Source organism: Homo sapiens, chromosome 7 (genome assembly GCF_000001405.40).
Source record: "Homo sapiens chromosome 7, GRCh38.p14 Primary Assembly".
NCBI lineage: Eukaryota > Metazoa > Chordata > Mammalia > Primates > Hominidae > Homo > Homo sapiens.
Genome location: NC_000007.14, coordinates 19,127,975 through 19,151,388, shown reverse-complemented (window position 1 = coordinate 19,151,388; position 23,414 = coordinate 19,127,975). Strand labels below are relative to the sequence as shown.

The 23,414-nt window shown below is 36.6% G+C and overlaps 1 protein-coding gene across 1 annotated transcript, besides 2 other annotated features; it reads left to right on the top strand.

Moving 5' to 3' along the window:
• Nucleotides 4,922–5,570: an enhancer, noted in NCBI's record as "OCT4-NANOG hESC enhancer chr7:19185442-19186090 (GRCh37/hg19 assembly coordinates)". NCBI's record gives its function as "activates a minimal SCP1, AML or CMV promoter by ChIP-STARR-seq in naive H9 embryonic stem cells {active_cell/tissue: H9 hESC(naive)}" and the evidence as "EXISTENCE:reporter gene assay evidence [ECO:0000049][PMID:30033119]".
• FERD3L (Fer3 like bHLH transcription factor) lies at nucleotides 5,968–6,607 on the top strand. The gene has a single exon (NM_152898.2). It carries the CDS (start codon nucleotides 6,027–6,029, stop codon nucleotides 6,525–6,527), a length of 501 nt encoding a protein of 166 aa, NP_690862.1. The 5' UTR covers nucleotides 5,968–6,026; the 3' UTR covers nucleotides 6,528–6,607.
• Nucleotides 6,036–7,235: an enhancer, noted in NCBI's record as "BRD4-independent group 4 enhancer chr7:19183777-19184976 (GRCh37/hg19 assembly coordinates)". NCBI's record gives its function as "activates an origin of replication core promoter dependent on BRD2, P300/CBP, MED14 and CDK7 cofactors, and independent of BRD4, by STARR-seq in HCT116 cells {active_cell/tissue: HCT116}" and the evidence as "EXISTENCE:reporter gene assay evidence [ECO:0000049][PMID:35650434]".

Genomic DNA, 23,414 nt, shown 5'->3' with positions numbered 1-23,414 from the left:
CAGCACAAATGAGCCTGAAGGACATTATGTTAAATGAAATAAATCAGGCACAGAAAAATACCACATGGTCTTATTCACATGTAGGTGCCAAAAATGTGGAGCTCATGAAGCAGATAATGGAATTGTGGGTTTTCAGAGTCTTGGAAGGGTAGTGGGAAGGGAGGATAGAAAGAGGTTGGTTAAAGAATACAAAATTATTTTTAAAATTAAAAACAGAGTTACCAAATTATTAGCAATTCCACTTCTGGGGACACATCCAAAAAAATTGAAAGCAGGGTCTCAAAATGATTTGTAGATATCCATGTTTATAGCAGCATTATTCACAATAACTAAAATCTGGAAGCAACCCAAGTGTCCATCATCAGAGGAATGGATAAACAAAGTGTGGCATATACATACAGTGGAATATCATTCAACCCTAAAAAGAAAGGAAATTCTAATGTGTGTTAAAATATAGATGGCTCTTTAGGACATTATGCTAAGTGAAATAAGCCAGTCACAAAAAGACAAATACTGTATAATTCCACTTGTATGAGCTACCCAGAGTAGTCAAATTTAAAGAGACGGAAAGTAGAATGGTGGTTGCCAGGGGCTGAGGAAAGGAGAGAACGAGGAGTTACTTTTTTAATGAATATGGAGTTTTCATTTTATAAAATTAAAAGAGTTCTTGAGATGGATGATGGTGATGCACAATATGATGAATGTATTTAATACCACCGAACTGTACACTTACAAATAGGTAAAGTGATAAATTTTATGTTATATGTATTTTACCGCCATAAAAATTGGAAAAAATATAAATGAATTTTTTCTTTTTTTTGAGACGGAGTCTCACTCTCACCTAGACTGGTGTGCAGTGGTGTGATCTCGGCTCACTGCAAGCTCCGCCTCCCAGGTTCACGCCATTCTCCTGCCTCAGCCTCACGAGTAGCTGGGACTACAGGCGCCCGCTACCATGCCAGGCTAATTTTTTTGTATTTTTAGTAGAGACGGAGTTTCACCGTGTTAGCCAGGATGGTCTCGATCCCTGACCTCGTGATCCGCCCGCCTCGGCCTCCCAAAGTGCTCGGTTTACAGGCGTGAGCCACCGCGCCCGGCCTGAAATTTTTAAATATACCATAAAGAGAGTCAAAAGGAAAGCCACAGAGTTGGGAGAAGATATTTACATTACATACGTCTGACATGGAACTTATACCCAGAATATTCGTACAAATCAATTTTTTAAATTAGAAAAATCCAATAAACAGTGGAGCAGTACTTTATTAAAGAGTCAGTAACTAATCGGCTAACAAGAAATGGTGCTCAATTTTACTTATCATCAGGGAAATGTAAATTAAAACTGAAATGTGATACCCATACACATCTTTAAAACAGCTTAAATTAAAAAGATAGAAAATGGCAAGTATTGGCGAGGATGTGAAGAAATTGGAACTCCAATATATCATTTGTGACAGTGTAAATTATTACAACCATTTTGGAAAACAATTTTATAGTAACCACTAAAACTGAACATATGCATAATCTATTCCAATTCCAGGTGTATCCCAAACAGGAAAGGATAAATGTACTCACAAAAAGATATGTACAATAACCTCTATGACACTGCTATTTGTAGTAACTAAAAATTGGAAACTATCCAAATGTCCACCAACAAGAAAAGGAAAGAACAAATAAATAGTGGTATATTTACACAGTGAAATATTATTCAACAATGAGAATATGCACAAATTGCATAAATAAAATATTGACTGAAAGACACAATAGTATACAGAATATAATTTATTTTTATAGATTATGCATATGCTCACTTTGTGAAACAGTCTCAAGCTATAAACTTAACTGTTCTTACATTACCTCAAACTTCAAAAAGGCATTCCATTTCTTGATTTGGGCACTGGTTTCATGGATACATTCACTTTGAAAATTCATGAAGCTGCATGTATATAATTTGCGAATTTTAAAGTACATACACTGAGCTTCAAAAAAGTTTACCTAAAATATGAAATGAAAAAAGCAAAATAAATGGATATATATTCTTCTATCTCTAAAACCAGCCGTGGTCACAACCATACATAATTTGAAATTGAATAGGAAGAAGACACTGGTCCCTTCTCCAGGTCAGCGGAAGGAGTACTTCTTATGCCTTTCTCCTACAATCATCACAGACATCTAGCTTCGTCATATCTTTATCATTTGCCCTAAAAGTTAATGTTTCTGGAATAAAAGAGGAAGGGACATGAGGAAGGAAAGGTAGGGTTTTTTTAATTGGGGGGATTTATATATTTGCTTTACTCCCTGGATGCTTTATTTATCTACCTTTCTCCCCTTTGCACCATTAAACCCAGGCTTCAGCTCATTCAAGAATTACTGCTTAAGTTATTCTTGGTCATTTTTTTTTCTTTTTGCTTTGATTCTGAACAGTTTAATAGTATAAACAAAATGTTTTATGTCTAATAGGAATGGTCAATAGAAATAAACTAGATAATCAAATAAGCAAAACTGATTGTCATTTCATAATCATTTCTTGAAATATTTTGAGTAAAATTTGTGAGGAGTTATCAAACTTTTTATAAATGCCTCCCTATAGGTCACTGAATAACTGTAAACTATAGGCCTAGAACACAGAGGAATCAAGGTTGAACTTAGCTTCTTTTAATCCTCAATTGAGTTTTTAAAAAACATCTCTCTCTTAACTTTCAAATCTAGAAATGAAAATAATGATTCCTTCCAATAGGATGAACTGTAACATCACTTGGTACTTTATAAATTTACTGCTTTTGCCATATATATTTACTGTGGAACCAAATACCCACAAAAGTCTTCTAAAAATAAAATGACCATTTCACAATAAGCAGAGAAAAAGAATTTCAGTTATTCCTATAATTAATTATAATTATAAATGAAATAACTGTAACTGTTAATTTATATAACTAATTATAATTATAAATAAAAACACTCATAACTTAGATTTTAACATTTTTTGCTTTAATTATATTAGCATGATTATAACCTTGTAAGATAAACAGAAATTAAGGTGGTATAAACAGAAGTGTTTATCCTGGGATTTTTATGATGAAATAAAAAAGAAAATATTTTAAAATAATTGCTGTAGGTGTACCTATTAGGACATTTAAAAAATTCCTAATACTTTAATACAAGTATTTCAACCCAGTTCTAGGCACTGGTTCCATTACTTTTGCTACAGTTCCTTTTGTGATATGATTATTGAAATCTCCATTCTCTGCCAGCTGCAGTGGCTCAGGCCAGTAATCTCAGCACTTTGGGAGGTCAAGGTGAGAGGACTGGTTGAGGCCTGAGCAAAATAGTTAGACCTCCTCTCTAAAGAACAAAACCTTTAGCTTGATGAGGTGGCCAGTGCCTGCAGTCCTAGGTACTCGGGAGGCTGAGGCAGGAGAGTTGCTTGGGCCCAGGAGTTTGAGGCACAGTAAGCTATGATTGTAGCACTGCGCTCCAGCCTCGATGACTGAGTGAGGCTCTGTTGAAAGAGAGAAGGAGGAAAGAAAAAGAAAGAAAGAAAGAAAGAGAGAAAGAAGAAAGAAAGAAAGAAAGAGAAAGAAAGAAGAAAGAAAGAAAAAGAAAGAAAGAAAGAAAGAAAGAAAGAAAGAAAGAAAGAAAGAAAGAAAGAAAGAAAGAAAGAAAGAAAAAGGAGTAAGGGGGAGGGAGGGAGAGAGGAAGGAAGGAAAGAAAGAAGGAAGGAAGGAAGGAAGGAAGGCAAGCAAGAAAGGTACATTGCCTTGGCTAAAATCATAAAGGAGTTCAGTCCAATGAAACTATCTCTTTAGTCTCATGAAGGCTTCTGACCCCCATTTTATGAAATTTTAAATTTAAATATCAACCATGTTTTCCTTCATTGTTTTCCAGTGTATTATATTGCGAAACTAGATTCTCAATTGACTGAGGTGTTTAATCCACTTGCAAATAGATTGTAAATGAATACAAAATAAGTCACTGAGAAGCATTTAACATAATTTAAAAATCAACAAGAAATTTGTCCAAATATTTAATAACATATTAATTTAAACGAGGGTTAGCAAGCATGTTACTACTTTTTTGAAACAAAAATCAGTTCTCCCATTTACTAGCTTCATAGCCACTGTTGACAATCCTATTATTTATTTTTCAGCCTTCCCTTTGAAAGATGCTTAGCAAAAATCAACTAAGTAACAACCAAAGATCTCATTCTCTTTAACATCTTCCAGGATCACAAATTTCAATTATTCTCTGCCTGAGTTATCACAATTCAAACTGGAGAATGAAGAGTAAACACAAGCAAAAGAAGATAAAATCTATTAAAAGATCGAGAGACACCAGACACAAATGGGTTAAAAGAAGAAGAAGAATTAAAGGTTATACTGTTTTGATTACACACATAGAGGCTAGGAAGAAGAAAATGAATTGAGATTACCTGTTAGAAATAGGCGGTTTCTGGTTTCTGGGAGCTGTCCAATGTACTGAGTGAACCATCATAACCACAACTTACCCCCTTAATAGGGACTGACGTCCTGGGCAGTTCTCTTTTGAACCGGGATGTTTCTACATTCATCTTTTTAGGCTATTTCTTCCAATCTACCTTTAAAATTATCTTCTAATCTGTCACTTTGACACAATGGGTCTTTTAAATAAATCTTTACACAGTACTGAATAATTAAGTAAATATAGTTATTGGCAAACAAAGAAAAAGAACCTTTTTGTTAAAATATTTGGGATACTCGAGATAATATAAAATGAGTAATCTCTTATTTTTCTTATGCCAAATTTAAAATCTCTTTCTTTTCTCAAAAATAACGATCTAACGATAGCCAAAAACTCCCTTAAATATATTTCAATAAATCATTGTTTCTGCACTTAAGTCTTACTGTAGGACAATACAAATCAATGAGGAAAATACGCCAGATGGAAGTGTTAGGTTTTTTTCTTTGTTCGGGAACAAATACTCGATCCGCAATTTAAAAGTCCGAAGACTCCTCAGCAGAGGGTGAGCTGATTGACTCTTTGGCTTATCAAGGGCAAATCGCATTTCTGAAAAGAGCTTGAAGTGGTTTTGTTTGTGAGGAGAGTTTGCTTTGTCCCCCACACTGAAAAGTATACAGCAAAGCCCGAGCATAGAAAATATCCTGAGCTTAAATTTCTCATTTTATTGCCATCATAACTTTTCCTCTTGGAATAAAATCCTCTATTTTATATGAGTAGGAGGTAAAGGTAGGGAAAGGAAAGTCAAGTATCTCAATTGTTACGCTGATTGCATCCAAACAGACTTTAGAAGTCAGGGTTTGTAACGTGGCAGGAGAGCTGTTTGCGATGCCCTGGAAAGAAAAGAAAGCCGGTTCCAACAGCGACTCTGGGGAATGCACTCTCGGTCCCCCTGCCATGCTTACTTAAGCTAATTGAAGGTCTTGCCTTTCAGCAGCCGCTGCACTGGGATACCAGACAAACAGCTCCCCTTGATGCCAGGCAGGCAGGGCCCCTCTTCAGGACATCATTAAAAGCACATGCACTTGCTCCACATCCATTGGCAGATGGTGGCAAGATTCAAGACTCCTACCCTGAAGTCAAGGAGAAGCCATCGCGGTGGAAAACATCCTCGCTTTGAAAATCCAACACGAAATTAAAGAACTACACGAGATAAGGAGCCTGGAGAACATTAGTTGGCTGCAGGGGTGAAGACAGACACAAAAAGCACAGCAGGTAAGAGCTGGGGGTTGTTGCCAACAAGGAACTGTCCCGGGTGGCGCAGAGAAAAGGATCTCAGAACTGGAGCCCTGTCCCTTTGAGTCTTCCATGCGTGCTCAAGCTTGTCATCTTCCATAAGCTTCGAGAGAAGGGACGTTGTCAGAGCATTCCTTATCGGTGCGACTAATCCTGTTATCAGCTTGGTTATAAATATTTAATGTTCCCTGGCCTTTCGGTGATGGTGCCCCATCAGATTCAAGGCTGTTAAGAATCCCCACCAGCAACCTCGCCCCTCCCTGCGGAAAACCGATGAGAGGCAGGGCCAAGCCGAAGCGATGGCGGCCTATCCGGAGAGCTGCGTGGACACTACGGTGCTGGACTTCGTCGCAGACCTGTCCCTGGCCTCCCCGAGACGCCCTCTCCTCTGCGACTTCGCACCCGGGGTCTCCTTGGGGGACCCAGCCCTTGCGCTCCGAGAGGGAAGACCCAGGAGGATGGCGCGGTTTGAAGAGGGGGACCCAGAAGAAGAGGAGTGCGAAGTGGACCAGGGGGACGGAGAAGAGGAGGAGGAAGAGGAGCGCGGAAGAGGTGTCTCCCTATTAGGCCGCCCCAAGAGGAAAAGGGTGATCACCTACGCCCAGCGCCAGGCCGCCAACATCCGCGAAAGGAAGCGGATGTTCAACCTCAACGAGGCCTTTGACCAGCTGCGGAGGAAGGTGCCCACGTTTGCTTACGAGAAAAGGCTGTCCCGGATCGAGACCCTCCGCCTGGCCATCGTCTATATCTCCTTCATGACCGAGCTCTTGGAGAGCTGTGAGAAGAAGGAAAGCGGCTGAGCCTGGTGTGGAGAGTCTGCCCTTCCTCGTCTGGTAGTGCTGGGGTGTGTCAGGACCGGGCACTGGGTGAGGCTAAAGGGCCGGGAGGGAGGCCCCAAGACAGAACGTCTGGTCTTCTGGAGGTCGGGGTCGAGATTGTAAGATCCCCACATGCGCTGAGCAGAGTGGCTGCTGTAGAGTTCATATCTACGCGACCGCCCTAAGTGAAGTCGGGGTCAGGGGCGAGCGGGGAAGTCAGAGAGCGTGAGGCTGAGTCGGGGCCGTTCAGGCTGCTCCTAAGAGCTTCCGTGGGCTGGGTGGGTGGGAAGTGAACCCTCCTCGCAAATGGCAGACTTTGGAGCTTCTATAAAATCTAACCTCTCTTCTTTACATTTTTTTTTTCATAGAGATAATAAAGTAGAAATTCTTACGTTTTTAAAAAGCCTGAAGGGTCGGTGGTACGCCATCCCCAGCAGGCGCTCCAGCGGGCGCCTGCGTGGAGGGTCTGAAGCAGACGCCGCAAGGGTGCGGGGGTGCGAGCTTTTCTGCTAGCCAGAGGGTTCTGCCTGGTCCTCCGAGGCTTGTCCAGGAACTGAGGAAAGGAAAAATGGAAGGCAGAGCAGTCGAGAGGAACTGCTGACAAAGTGCGACCTCTGAGAAGGGACACCCTTCCTGTCTTCCATTCCCTCTCCCTCCCGTCCCTTCCTCTCTCCCGCGCGCAAGCCCTCTCTCTTCCTTTCTCCCTCCCCTTCGCCACCTAGTTGATCCCAGACGGACCACAGCTCCTTGTCCCAGGGCCACAGTGGTGTTCATTCAGTGCCTTAGCCAGAGTGCAAATCTACGCTTTGCATCTAAAGTGCAGCATCAGCTTCCGTGTTCCAGTGCCTTCTTCAGGCCCCAGGCCAGAGTAAGGGGCGAGTGCACTCGGGTCACTCCTGGGCCGCAGGGGGCCTTGGGCGCCCTGCAGCTTCGCCACCAGCCACCGCTACCAACTGTCCCCGGCCAGGGGTTGGGGTATGAAGGGGCCTGGATCTTTCTAGGAGCAGGGCCGCCTGAGCGCGCTCACTTTTACATTTTTAGCTGTAGGTAGGAAAGATAGCTTTCACTCTAATGGCTTCTAGAGACTACCAGGGGAGACAAAAAGTCCAAAGAGGAGATGCCTTCTGACGCCTTGCAAAACGCCTGCCATGCAGATGAGGTTGAAGCGGGTCCATGCTGAGAGGCCGCCTCTAGTTTGGACCCGTGCCATTCCAGGATTCTTCCTTCTAGGTGACGTGCTAGTACCAGAACTGGGGTCTTTCAGAAAGGAGTGGGTAACTGAGGCGAGGAACCCGATTGAATAATGCCAACCTAAACATAAATTCAGTAATCCTAAAGGATAATCCCCAGTGATTATTCCAACACTTTATTTCGCCCCTCATTGCACACAGAAATAGGCGGGAGCCTGTGCGAACACACAATTCTCTTAATCATGCTTTCGGAAATAGAATTCATTTCATTAATAAGTAACATATACTCATCCTAGAAATTTTGGAAAAAAAAATTTCAAAAAAGAGAAAATTCGAATCACTCCACGTTACCATACTGTTAGCATTTTCATCTATTTCTTTCCAGTCTTTTTTTCCCTGTGCAGTTATAAATTCAATATATTTTACTAATTCGAGATACTTTGGGATACTGATATTTTTCCACTTGGCATTATAGAAGGTGCAATGTTTTCCCTTAACTTTAATATTATTCAAATGTGATTTTGATTACCATATCTTATTGTCTTATCCATGTATCACACCACCACCAGCCCTTTCCAGATAGATAGCTATTTCCTTTTTAAAAAATAAATGATGCTGCTAAGAGCATTCTTGTAAATGCCTTCTCTGTCTATTATTACTTCCTAACATTTGATACCTAGAAGTGAAATTTCTGGATTCAAGTTTGTGGATATAAATGGCCAGATTCCCTTCTTGGTGGGTTCTGCCAGTTCACTCTCCCACCCTCTAGCATTGCAGGGATTTGCCTGTTTCCCAGCCCCTTCATTAGTACTTCGAATATTTAAAACTTTTCTTAGTTTTCCTTTTCATAGGACCTGGATTAGTTCTGAAACGAGCCCCCACTCCCAAGATGTTTTTTTACTTTTACTGTGTCTTTCCACCAAGAATTTTTTCAACTGCACCGTAAGAACATCAGGATAAACAGGTAAACAAAAAAAAAATACATAAACAGCTAACACCAAACAACAACAAAGCCCCATAGAGTGTTGTTTTTTCTTATTCTTCCACCAATTCAATTTCTCCTGGAAATTAAACATCATTCTTTTTTAAAAAATCATCTGAAAGTGTTGAATAAATAAAAAGAAAAAAAAGTAATTCCAATCTAGGAATTCTTAATATTTTGCTGAAAGAACAAGTTTTGAAAACCAGAAATAAAGCAAAATTGTGTAGACCAGGGACCATCAACATTCCTAAGTCGTGAGGAGTCAGCACAGCCACCCGTTTTCGTTAGTCTTCTCCATCATATTCTAATACATTTTGTTCCTAGAAAGCAAATAATATTCCTCCAGTGAATACCTCTTCATCATAGTAAATGATACCTAAAAAACTTCTAAATTAAAAGTTATTTTCTTATTATCAACAGAGGAATTATCCACCCTTCTTAAAAAAAAAAACTTTAATCGTTTATAAATGCTTTGCTATTTGTAAGTTTACATGTTTAGGAACTGCCTCAAATGTAGTCTTTTAAGATATTTTCATAATAATTTTACTCAGAGTAATTTGAACCCAGGTAAGGATCAGAGTCACATAGAAAGGGATTGACATTCCTTTCATCAAATGCCAATAGAGGTAAGACAAAATGATCCACGTCCTGAACTTAAATCGAGTATACCTCCATATTTTGACCCTCAACTTTTCTAAGCATTATTTTAATTTTAGTTTTCCTCATGTTAGATGCATAAAATCAGTGCACCTTTAACACAAGTTTTTTGTTTGTTTGTTTGTTTGAGATGGAGTCTCGCTCTGTCGCCAGGCTGGAGTGCAGTGGTGCGATCTCAGCTCACTGCAACCTCCAACTCCCTGGTTCAAGCGATTCTCCTGCCTCAGACTCCCAAGTAGCTGGGATTACAGGCACGCGCAACCACACCCAGCTAATTTTTAATACAAGGGTTTTTGAATGTAACACCCACTACATTAAAATAGTTTTACTGTTTATTATCTCCTAAACTACCATTGATAGAAATATGAGTAGATATTGCCTTTTCAGTAACTTCAGCCAGGCTTTTTTTAAGACCTAATGGTGTCAGTTACTTCTGGAAAATTAAAATAATTTGTTTTTGAAATCTTAAAGTCATTTGAACATTTAGAATCTAAATACCATCTGAGATGTTGCTTGGAGGTGATTTATTTATATACTCTCTACTGATGGAACACTGCCTTTTGGTCTCAAACTAAGTTCCCCATAGCTATCAGATTACTATTAGTATTCAGACAAGTAAGCCATAAAAAGATCTAAATGAAATCATATTTGAAAGACATAATTAGGCTTTCTGAGGAATCTAAAAATAATCAGAAGCCCTTACCATCAACAGGGAGTCATTTAGGCTGATCATCTTTTACAGTTAGTTGCCCAGCGTTAAAGCAGATTTTGGCAAAATTAAGTGCTGGAAACTGAACCAAATATTCTGCTAGTATGCATAATTCCTACATGCAGACATATGATACAATTAAGACCCTTGGATTAGTGTTTATTATCACATTTGTCAGCATTTCCATTATAAAATAATCTTTTGGGAGGTTGATAACATAGCTGTAAAAATCCTGAGACGAAACTTGATAAGCATGATTTTAGGATACATTTTTTTCTTAATTACAGATCTTCAAAGGAAACTTCTAAAGTAACGAAGCCACAAGTACATTTTACATGTGCATTTCCAAAATATACCTGATACTTTAAAAAAACAAGAGAATCTATTTAATACAAAATACAAATTAGACTATTATTTTATTTTTATCAAAAAGAGCTAGCAGATTAGTATTGAATGTTAAGTATGAACTTGACTTTTTATAGGATGATATTATTTCATGAAATTAAATTTTAAATGTTTTTGGAAAACTGGTGAAGTTGGCTATATATCATTAACTTGGCACAAGTTCACTCAAAGGTTCCTGAACTTTGCCAACATTTTGGGTGAAGTTAGGCCCAATTTCTGGTCAGCACCCTCTCTTCCTGTGAATACTGGACTAAAAAAAGATTACAAAACAAGAGTCAGCAGTTCTGACCATTTTGTTTTGACTTTGGGGTTTCTTTGAATCCAAAGCTTAAAACCAAACCTGGCGGAGGAGAAGAAGGAAAGAAAAGAAGCAATGCAAACTGACAGGAATAAAATACCAGAAAGGTGGAAAAACTTCCTCAAGTCTCTATAAACCAAAGCCTATAAATTTTCACAACATTTTCTGTGACACCAGATTGTCAGTTCTGTGTCTATACCACATTTCTTAAAGGAGTATGAGGAAATGCAAAGAAAAATATGAATGTGTTTTCAAACACTCTTCATGGCAAATATGTGGTAGAATCCCACCCTTAATCTGGCAGAAGGCATGGAACATTCGATATGCTGTGAAATAAAGAATTTGACAAATACGACACGATGGAAATGATTACAATAAACTGCTTTAGGTTTACTTAGTGCTTTATTGGTTTCAAGGCACCATTCACATACTTTATCTCACTTGATCTTCACAATTGGATTTCAGCAAGTTCTAGAGTCTCTCTATTAAACTGAGTCATCAGTGTAGCATCTTAAAAATTCCTTCACTCACTATTGAAATCAGCAAGATATTGGGACTCCCAAAAAGGACCAATGGTCACACATAAGCACCACAGCACTTTGAAAGATATTGCCTTCAAAGATCAAAAGCACCTTAACATGTTCTGTGGATGATAAATTATACAAAAGGCTGGTTTGGTCTGGCTCCCTCAAAGGCCAAATTTTACAACCTTCTATTTCAGGCTGTGTGAAGGAGATTTCCACCTGCAGCCAACAAATGTAGATGACCTCAAAGCAGCTGTTATGGACAGTTTTTTTTATGATTTCCAGTCTTCAAAAGAGAAGAAAAATGTCTATGAGAATTTGGAAATAGATCAAACAGTTGGTGAACAATAGAAGAAAAAACATCATCTAAACGTGTTTGAATGAGTGAACGAATGAATGATAGCACTATTACTTTACTGCAGATAATTTTGTAACTTCTTCAAAAGATAGTAATACAAATCTATATTTGGTACTGGCTAGATCTTGAACTGATTGGCTATATTGAATACCAGAGTTCAGTGAAATATTGGAGAAACCAGAAAGGGTCTCAAAGAGAACAACAAAATAATTGGATTATTGGATCTGAATGAAGTAATATTATCCATAATAAGAAGTAGTAATATCTGTAATAATATAACAACTGTATTGAAAGCTTATGACAGCATGTGTTCTAAACACTGTGTTGAGTTCTTTATATGTACTAAACACTGTGTTAAACTTGTAAAGTTCTCATAAAAATTTTAGGATATACACACTATTGTTATTTCCATAGTGATGAGGACACTAAAGAATATGGAAGTTAAATAATTTTTCCAAGCTCAATCAGCTAACAAATACTGAAGCTAAGATTTCCACCCAGACAAGGATTTCAGAGACCAAACTCTGAGGGATTAAGATTAATTGGTGATGATTATATGATCATTATATTTAAGTAGAAATATTGTAAAAAATGAAAATTGTCCATCATCTTTGCATAGTCTTGTGAATCTATAATTACTTCAAAATAAAATTTAAAAATTAAAATAATCAGATAATTACTATGACAATCCTTTGAACCTATAAAACACCATAGAAATATAAATTATCATTAGCTTTAATGAGCCATTCCCAGATACTTAACTTATGTCTTGTTCTACTGTAATTTTTCTTCACATGTTTCATGAAAGTGAAACCAACATTTTGTGCCTGGCATTATGTGGTTTCTGGAAGAGAAATCGAGACTTGTTTTTTCACTCTGACCCAAAAGAATATAGACGAGCACTAAGTGCTTGACTCTGGGTTCCTTGGTCTGTGCTGATATTCTTGGTCAGCTACATTCTAAATATGGATTTGTAGTATTTGCACATCCTAATTCTGTTGCTTGCTAAATTAGATTACTAACTTAAAACTTAAACCTACTCATCCTGATTTGTAAAGTGGAAATCATGAACACAAAACTATTTAAAGACTCAGAAGAGATCATATAAGTGCTCATATAAGACTCAGAAGAGATCATATAAATACAGTGCCTCACACAATATAAAAATTTAGCCAATGCCGCTATTGTTGTTTACGTTATTTCAATGTTGAATGTGTGTGTAGGACAAAATGATAATTCAGCCTTTTAGAAAGGCTCATGATAACACACAGAATAGGAATATGAAATACCTGTCCTGTTTCTCCTAAGTATAATCAAAGTTTTTTAAGTAGTAAGACATTTTGTGCCCAATCTAAGTTGCTGCCTTGAACTCTTTTATGTTTTTAAACATATAAATTTAAAGGTAAGGCTTCTGGTCCATGGCATATGTAATCACAATCTTCGATCTGCCAGGAAGGTCACTGTAAAGTCTACACTCCTGAAATATCGGCCGGGCATGGTGGCTCAGGCCTGTAATCCCAGCACTTTCGGAGGCAGAGGCAGGTAGATCACCTGACGTCTGGGGTTCAAGACCATCTTGGCCAACATGGTGAAACACCATCTCTGCTAAAAATACAAACATTAGCCAGGCCCAGTGGAGTAAGCCTGTAGTTCCAACTACTCGGGAGGCTGAGGCAGGAGAATCACTTGAACCGGTGAGGCAGAGGTTGCAGTGAGCCAAGATGGCGCCATTCCACTCCAACCTGGGCAACAGAACAAGACTCCATCAAAAACAACAACAACAACCAAAAAAAACTCTTAAATTTGCAAATAAAGCTTTTTATATGAAAAAGTTACCACACGTTTGGCAAATCCTCCGGGAATTTACTTTCAAGTAAATAAACTACCTGATCTAGGCTGATACGAAATCTAAAAACCTAGAACCCACTCAGCCTGTTCAACTGGAAATGAGGTGGTGTGCCATGCTTTTTTGTAGGTTCCCTGAGACATATGCCTCTGTCTACCCAAAAAAGGGACGCTTCTCCCTGCCTCCCATAGAAAGGAATCAGAGAGGAAAAAAGAAAGGGCCTCTTCTTGGTGCATCAGAGAGGCAATGTGAGTCTTGAAGTGGTCTTTGGACATCCTCTGTTGTATGTGCCATTTACACAGTCTTTAAAAATTTGTCACCTAACCTATCCTCTTTATACAAACAGATTTTTTGTTTTTTGCACTTTAACATTAGTGGCTTTATACAATATCATGGCAAAAGCTTTGTATTCTTTGGCCTAGATTTACCTGCATCTAAGTAACAGTTTTTGCAAAGATAAAATTGGCCTTCACTTGTACATAATCTGTCAACATTTAAAAATGCATAGCTCTTTTTACATATGTAGCATGTTATATAATAAATTTTCCTCCTTGCCTAGAAAGTTAAAAGGAGAATTATTAAATATCCCATTTCTTTTAAAAGCTTTGATTCAACTTCAACTGGCTCATTTGAGGGTTGATGGGAAAGAGCTTTCTGAAATGTACTAAAATGTTTCCAATTTGGGAAACATACCCAATTTCAAATATTCTGACCATCGTTTCATATTTTTGGCCAAAAAATGTGGTGAGTATAGTTAACAAGCATTTGACAAGTAGTGGTTTTGTTAATTGTAGATCTTATTGAACAAGCCAGGCCATTTCTTTCATCACTATTTATTTGCCTAATCTCACCAAAGCCCATTGAAATTAAAGCATATGAGTTCAGTTAAAAAACATATATTGGATGCCATTTTGTTTCAGATGACAGAACCACAAAGTAAACTTCATACGCTTTATTAGTATACTACATTTTATCAAATTCAGTCAACTGCTTCTAAAGTTAACATAAAACAGGCTGAAAAGGGCCCAAACTCAAAGCATTACATAACAAAACACAACAACTTCTTCCCAAATTACACGCACACGAATATATGCATCATACTTCAATCCAAACCTCAGGGTCCTTACACTGAACACCCTCAGAACTTCTGCTTCTCAACTCCACAATTCCCCTGCTCCCTGCTGATTTTATGATTCACACACATTCAAACATACCTACGTGCAAAACCAAAGTATTTCAATCAGAGTGACTTCGCGTGTATTTTAGAATGAATTTTGCATATGTAAAGTCTTTTTTGTTTGTTTGTTTTTTGCTTTTTGTTTTTTTTTTTTTTTTTTTGAGACAGAGTCTCACTCTGTTGCCCAGGCTGGAGTGCAGTGGCAAGATCTCAGCTCACTGCTACCTGTGCCTCCCGGGTTCAAACGATTCTCCCACCTCAGCCTCCCAAGTAGCTTGGATTACAGGCACCTGCCACTACGGCGAGCTAATTTTGTATTTTTAGTACAGAGGAAGTTTCACCATGTTGGCCAGACTGTTCTCAAACTCCTAACCTCAAGTGATCCACCCACCTCGGCCTCCCAAAGTGCTGGGATTACAGGAGTGAGCTACTGCACCTGGCCTGTAAATTGTTTTTATTCCTAGCTCAAACCTTAAAAAGGATTGACTTTTCTTCCTTTTCCTCCATGATTTGGTAGGCAGTTTTACTCTTTTTTCATAATAGATGTCTCTTTCTTGAATAATTTATGTCTTAATAATAAGGATTATTGAATATTTCTATCTATTGTAACCAAAACAGGTATTTAAGTGAGCATCAGTATTTTTCTATGCATTGAAAACAAGCCCAGGAATTTTGCTAGTTCTTCACCAAACATTGGCCCCACATATGTATACCAGGTCTAAATTTAACTACTAAGACCAACAGCCAGACAATGGTAGAAAAGAAAGTGTCTGGAATTGCTATTCTGAAAACCTACAGAACACTCATTGATTAGATGAGGGTCATTGACTCAATGAGAAAAACAGAATTTTCCTTGGGATTAAGACTGTTTCTTCTTGGGGAGATTCAAGAGTATCTGAAGTTCAAATAATTTACCGTATCAAGAAAGGAGTTAGAAGGGATTCAAGAATGCTCTCTGAACCTTGGCTCTGATTGGGAAGATCTAAGTCATATCTATAACATTATGACCTTTTGTGTATTCTTACAACTTGCCTACAAAAATTTCACTTGCAGGAATTTAGCCTAAGGAAATAATCAAGACCATGCACAAAGATGGCACTACAAAGTATGCACCTCAGTATTGTTTATAATATGAAAATATGGAAAATAGCCTAGATGTCCAAAAAAGTAAGTCCTTAATTAAAATTGTTCCATCCATTAAAAGGATGAGTTATCAAAAAAGTTTGTAGTGCAGAAAGATAATTCCAAAAATTGATCAGAAAAAAGTATTTTATAAAGCAGTGTGTAAGGCATAATTTTATTTCTGCTTCATATGAGAACATGTATATTTGTGTATGTGCATATTTTTATATCTATAAATATACATGTTCATTTTATTTATGCTAGAGGGGGACTGATCATTTTTTGTGCTTGTTTGTATTTTCCTGGTTTGTAATCAGGTCATCCTTTTGTAATCAGAAAAATAATAAAGTTATTTTAAACTAAAAAGAGCAACACAACAATACAATTTATGATATCTACTCTTAGTTGAAGAGCAGGATCTAGTTATCTAGGTGAGAACTCTTGTCTTTTTAACTCTAAAACATTTGAAGTAGGTATTTAAGATGTTTAGCAGTTATATTGTATAACTTTTTTTTTGGATGCTTGGGAGTAGAACCTTCCCAGCACACTACAGGCCCCCTTCCAATCATTGCCCCTCTCTTCTTGCAAGAATATTCAGTATCCTGACTTCTAACAGACTAGTTTCCCAGTTTTTATATTGTTTTACATAAAAGGGATCATTGGTTTTGGGAAAACATTGATTTTCATTTATAAATCTGTCTTCAACAAAACATGTATTCTGACAGCCTTCCCCAAAAAAGGAAGTTAAAATTAATTAGAAAGATAAGGATTAAATTTACCATTAAATACTCAGAGTTTAAAATTTTAAAGGAAAACCATTTAACAAACATGCTCTTTCATTCTACTGACACTTAAATGGAAAATTTGATTAAACTTTAAGGGATTTCATCTAAAACACAGCTCAGTTTATCTATAATTTACATACCCACAAACACCTTCCCCAAAACAAACAGGTAACAATAATCTATACTAACACTAAGGCATTTATTGACTAGTCAGGAATACACTTAACATTTCTAATGAAATTCCAGACTTTTAAACAATTAGTAAACAGTTTTTCTTCCTACTTAGCCCCAGTGTGTGTGTGTGTGTGTGTGTGTTCTGTGTGTGTGTGTGTGTGTGTGAAGGTGCATATAAATTGTGTAAAATTTAATATTTACTTTCTAAAAGAATATATTAGAACCTGATAAATGTGACCTCCAAGAGCTTTTACAAATTCATAGTCACATGTTCCTATGCATATTCATTTTAACATATTTTGCATATTCATGTTTTGAAAACTCTGCCACAGAACAAAAGAAAAAACATCAACTTTTCTAGCATAATTTCAAAATATTTAAAATCCGAACTGCTTTTAATAACTTGTATTGTTTTTAACATGTGACATTTTATCCCCATTAGTAATAACAGATGTCTAATGCATTAAAAAGGAAAATCCTGCACATGTGTTGAAATAGAGGACTTTACTGAAAGGAAAGCATGTGCTTTGATTTATATTAGTCAAAATTTAGATACTGTACTTGGCGCTATTTCAGGAAATGAAAAGCTGAGGAAACAGTTATATACCAGTAAACCAGAACAAAAAATCTCCTCAGAAACCAAAACAGTTTGCCACTTACGCTAAATTAATACCTAGAATATGGTCATATTAGCCCCGAGAGAGAGCTAATTCTAACAAAACAAAACCCTATCCATTGATTCATGTGAATTATGTTGTATTTACAATTATTCTTTGCTCACATTTAATTGTCAAAAATTAATCAGTTAATTACATAATCAGAGATTATGAAAACTTGGGTGAATTCTAAAAAGAAAAAGGTCACGAAAAACAAGTGTTTACTTACTGTTCTCTGACTCCATTATCTTCACTACTGGTGTAAAGGTACACAAAGGGCAAATTCAAAAATAATGAGCCATAAATCCACTATTATTTGTCTGGCTGGTTTTTGCATCTGATTTTAAAGGCACCTTCTCTCCTGCGGACTGTTCCAGTGAGCTGTTGCCACTCCCACTGCAGCTAGTGCAGAGAAAGGCACCTCAAAGCCAGGGGGCAGAGCAATTAATTCAAGGGACAACTACTGGGCGCCAGCTGTTTACGTAAGTTATGCCATTCAAACCTCACAAAGACTTACTAAAAAGGATATTAATATATCCACCTTACACAGAGAAAAATAAATTCAAATTGGTTAAAATACCTTGTTCATGCAGAGACAAAGGTGGAGCCATATTTTGACTCAATTGTTACCTTCTCTAGAGGTAAATTTGACAAATGTTGGTATAATGAAAGCTCCATGTCCATAACACTTAGGCATAGGTTTGCATACAATCTACAATCCTTGCAAATATGGACCAGAATTGCTGGAGTGGCCAGCACTTTACAAGCATAAACAGAAGGACTCCTTTACAAAGTTGCTGTTAGCTCCTCTGCTTTCTATTTATACTACTTTTCAAATAGTATATCTGTTGCTACTGAGATGATTTCTACTTCATACAATTTGTATGATGTTTCCCTACTCTCATTTTATATATTAGTACTGCTTCGTGTTCACAGAGTGAGAAAGAAATAATTCCTTTAATCTGAGTTGGGCTATTTCTTAAGTGCTTCAGAAATACATCTACGTTTATGTGTGTCTATATGTGTTTGCTATATATATATGTATATATAGCAAACATATGTGTGTGTGTGTGTGTGTGTATATATATATATATATATATATATATATGCAGCGTCCCCCTGCCTGTGCTATAATAAAAAGATTATTACTGCAAGACCATATAACACTTGTTATTTCCTTTAGGTGATACATTTTATTAGAGTACTTCATTATTAATAATAAATATGATAAATAGGGTACTTTAGCTGACAACATAACATTATCATATTAATGCCTGGAGCATGAATATGAGAGAGAGGAAAAAATATGACTATTAGATAAACCCATTCTGTGTTTTAGGCCACGTCTGGCCCACTGCAGTCAAATTTGATATCAATACCTTTGTACAATTTAATTGAGATGAATTTCTAAAGGTTAAATTTGAGCATTATAACAAAGAACATTTGTGTGAAATGTTTGTTTCATTATCTCAACAAAAGAGAAACACAACTTCTGAGTGAAAAACTAAGATTGTTTTATGTCATATGCAGTGCTAGTATAAAAAAAAATTGCTAAGTTATACTGTCATACCCAAGAAGCCCAAATCAATGACAAGAGCAGCACTGAGGTCAGAGATGCTAAAGAGTCCTGGCCGAGAGGACAGTGTGAACACCACCTAAGTAAACACCTTTTAAGAGGAAAGGACACTACTCAGACAAACAGTAATTTTCAGTCTAAGGTCGGGGGGACACCCTTTATGGAGGCTCATATAAAATGTATTACCAAATGGATCAAGTGACAAAAGTGAATACAATTCTCAAATTTATGGCATTTAATTCAGAAATAGAGGTTCTCTTGAAATAAAGTTCCAAGCATGGGGAGAATTTCCAAGTCAGATGATGTGATTTATAACATTTTCTTCATCAGCTTGAAGTATAATGCCATTATTACATCTATGATTTTGCAGATGTTCTTTAAGAGTACTTCACTCTTTCATAAATCTAATATTTTTAATACTCTGACTGATTTGCTACAATTTAGCTGTAGTTGTTTTTTAATGCTCCTATATCATTAGTAATTGGCTTTCAATGTATTATACTGTATTACCATTCTACTAGTTGTTCATTTATCATTCATGGCAAAAGATAAGTAGCTATGAATAATAATAACTTTTTTAAAATCATAGCTCTCTTCCTCTCTCTCTGTCTCTCCCCCCTCCCTCTTGTCTTCAGTCTTTTTTCATTTTATTGACTACGTTTCCTATGCTGCCATATAAAATTAAAAGTTTCTTTTCAAGATTCTTTTCTTCTATAAAAATGAATGAAAATTATATGTTTTCTACAGAAATTATATACAAAGAAAACATGAAGATATGTTTTATTTCAGCTTAAGAAAGTCGTTGGGCTACATAAATGTCTCCTTTGGGAAAGAGGAGTTGACAAAATGATCAAGAAGGTGAACAATTTCCTGATTCCCCTTTCCCAAGTCAAATGTTCATGGTCATTCTTATGTGTAGCCCTAAACTAAACAAGCATATAAATGTCATAGTGAGGAGAGAGTGAAAAGCAGAAATAATGTAGGCTCAGTTTACATTTAAATTGGACAGGATCAGATTGAGTTTTCTTGCTCTGTTCAGCATCCAATTCTTGTGCTAACTTTCATTACCAATTTAATAAAAATCTATCAAATATTTATTGGATGCTTACTGTGAACTTGGCTCTGCTCACCACAGTTTTCTAGTTTGGTTAGGAGTTCACAGCAGAATGAGGGACATGCACTTGGCCAACTTGAGTAGATATCGGTTGAGGTATGTGGGGGAATTAGTAACATGAGCCACTAGGATGGGATAGAAGAAATATAGTCAACATATTGTAAATTCTATACTATTTTATATTTAAATGCCCATAAATTGAGATTGCAGGGGAGAGCAGCATTGGCAGGCTAAGTAAAATGGTGTATAACTAGCATGAAGAATATTAACAGAATTAAAAGAGTAAATTCTAACTTTTGAGCCAAATTTAAGCCAAGGATCATGCCTACTTCCTTCTCCACATGAGAAAGGGCCTGTTTTAATTATCTGACAATATTTATTCTCCCCGTCTTTGTCAGCAATAGAACCCGCAGAGGTTATGCTAAACATGGCCATCCAGCCACGGGTACATTTCACAGCCTCACTTGCAGTTAGCTACGGCCATGTGACTAAGATCTAGCAATAGGAAATGAGCAGAAGTCACATATGTAATTTTTAGATAGTTCCCCTTAAAAAAGCAAGGGGACATGTCTTCCCCTTGTTTTTCTCCTTTCCCATTGGCTAGAATGCAAAATTGACATGAGACCTGGAGTGGTCTCTTGGTCCATGAAATTGAAGACACATTCTGAGAATGGCAGAGCAAGAAGTTAAATCTCCAACATGGCTGAGCCACTGCTACACCAAGCCTGTAGCACCTATCCAAATTTTAAAATAAATAATCGCCTTGTTTAAGCCACTATACTTTGGGATCTCTTTGTTATAGTCCCATATCCTACCTAATGTATCTCTTCATCCCAGGTGCCTTGAGGTAGTGCCTGACACATAATAAGGTCTCATTTAATACTGTGAAGCACCAAGGAACAGAATGGTTCCAAAATACACACAAGATTTTTAAGCCTATGGCTAGGATACAAATAGGCAAAGACCAAGCTGAAATTCTTATGAGCATATTAGGCTGACATGAGAGAGGGGATGCTATACACAATGCGTTTTTCCCACTCCAGCTTATAACACATAAGCTGTTCCTCACCCCCTCACTTCATCTCACAAGGTACTATTCTGATGTTTCAGACCAGAAAATCAATCTAACTACATAAAATGAAAGAGAACATGACATGTGATGGAATAGAACGCAGCTGTATACATTATGAAATACAATTCAAAGTTACGTTTATTCCATGACAGTAAGAACAGTATAAATTTAAATGCAATAATGTTTTCCAAAGATATAGTAAAATATATCTTACCTAAATTCAAATTTTAAAATTATAAGAAATGTTGCCTACTTTTATATCATGTCTGATGTGACTTTCTCTCTTTGACAATTCAATTCAATACTATTAGATTTGAACTAATAGTTCAACTATTTGAACTATTTGAACTAATAGTATTGAATTATACCATTAGTTCTATACTATTGAATTGTACTATTAGTTCAAATCTAATAGTATTGAATTATAGATGATGATGATGATTGAATGGTTAATTATTATGTCCTTACCTCCAATGAGTGGCAAGAAAGCATTCCAGTTAAACATGCCTTCCATTTAAGATTTTGTTGAGTTCAGTGATTCTCTCAAAAGAATATCACCTCACTGGTAACCTAGATTATAGCATTTTATTATCAAATTTCAGGAAGCACAATCTCAAATCACTTCTCAACACTTTCAATGTATCAGCTAAGAAAGACAATATTTACAAATGATGACTAGAAGAATATATATAACTCTAGACACTCAAAAATCTATAGCAAGATTAAACCACACAATCAGAAAGAATTAGCCTTTGGTAAAAATTACTTGGAGTAAATCATTTTTGCCACTATATCATAAACCTATATTAAGTGACATTATTAAAAAAAAAACCAATTCTGGCCAGATATGGTCGTTCACACTTGTATTCCCAGCATTTTGGGAGGCTGAGGTGAGTGAAATGCTTGAGAGTCCAGTTCAAGACTAGCCTGGGCAACATGGCAAGACCCTGCCTCTGCAAAAAAAAAAAAAAAAAAAAAAAGCCAGTATTATGAAACTTAGTGGATATTTAATATGCATGTGTTGTCAAGGAGTCAAGGATACTGTCCTTGATGATATTCAGTGTTTATTTCTCCATGAACTTAAGTGAATAAACTTTTTTTCGGGTCACAATACCAGGAATAGTTGGGATTCTTCTGGACAGTCCATGTGTGTATGTACACATATTTCCTTAGAGGCCCTATGAATCTTGACAATTGCTTGTAAAAGCTGTTCACATTATTTACTAGACTTTCTTAGAGCTAGTTGTCTGACCCACCACTACAAAATACATGACATTAAATATACATTCTGAGGCTAATTCAGCTAAGTTTTATATTCTTCATGTTCTTCTCTTCTTGATTAAATTATCTCACTTGTCTTTAATGTGTCTTCTTGCTGATTTTTTTAAAATTCATGTCATCTATCTCAAGTCTGTTTCTGGAATTAAGTTTATATTTACAAATACATGAATACTTTTATAACATATGCTTCTTGTTTAAGAATGTGTTGTTTCTTTTTGTACTTACTCTTGTTGTCTTTGTTTTGTAACAATTGACTAGATTTAAATCTCTATGTTTATTTGTACCATTGCTCACCACGGTTCTTGGAAGTGAGATTCTCAATAAGTAAAAAAATACTTGACTTTGTTTTTGTAAGGGAACAAAATGGTATTTCCGTAGTCCTTTCACACTTCATATAGTAAAACGCAATCTTAGGTGGGTATATGAACTGCCTGGACAACATCCTTTTGACAATTTTTCTTTATGGAGAAAACCTAAAAAGCCTGTTTTTATTCCTTTATAGATAAATTTTTCTCTGCATGCTTATAGGATGGCTTCTTTGTCTTTAATGGTCAACATTTCTCTGAGAATATTTATAGATATGAGTCTACTTTCATTAACTTTGCTCAGAATACAATGTGCTATTCTACTTTATAAACTCTGGGGTTTTTTTTCCTACTCTGGAGAATTTTTTCTATTATGTCTTGCACTATTGCTTCTTCTCAATTTGTCTTAGTCTTTTCTTAAGAAAAGTAATTATCTCTGATTTCACAAATATTACTGTTGTTAAAATTATACTTTCTCCATTAATCCCTACGTCCCTTCCTTGTTTTATTTTTTTTTTCTTCATAGCAGTATTCACCATCTTTTTCAGTTTCAGTCCTCATCTCTTCCTCACACAGACTTACTCCCATAGTGATCTCCAATTACATAGCTTCAAATGCTATCCATACTGATTAATTCC

What these genes read in the sequence shown, in the direction of transcription:
- FERD3L (NM_152898.2), top strand. Translation starts at nt 6,027, where the DNA reads ATGGCGGCCTATCCGGAGAGCTGCGTGGACACTACGGTGCTGGACTTC.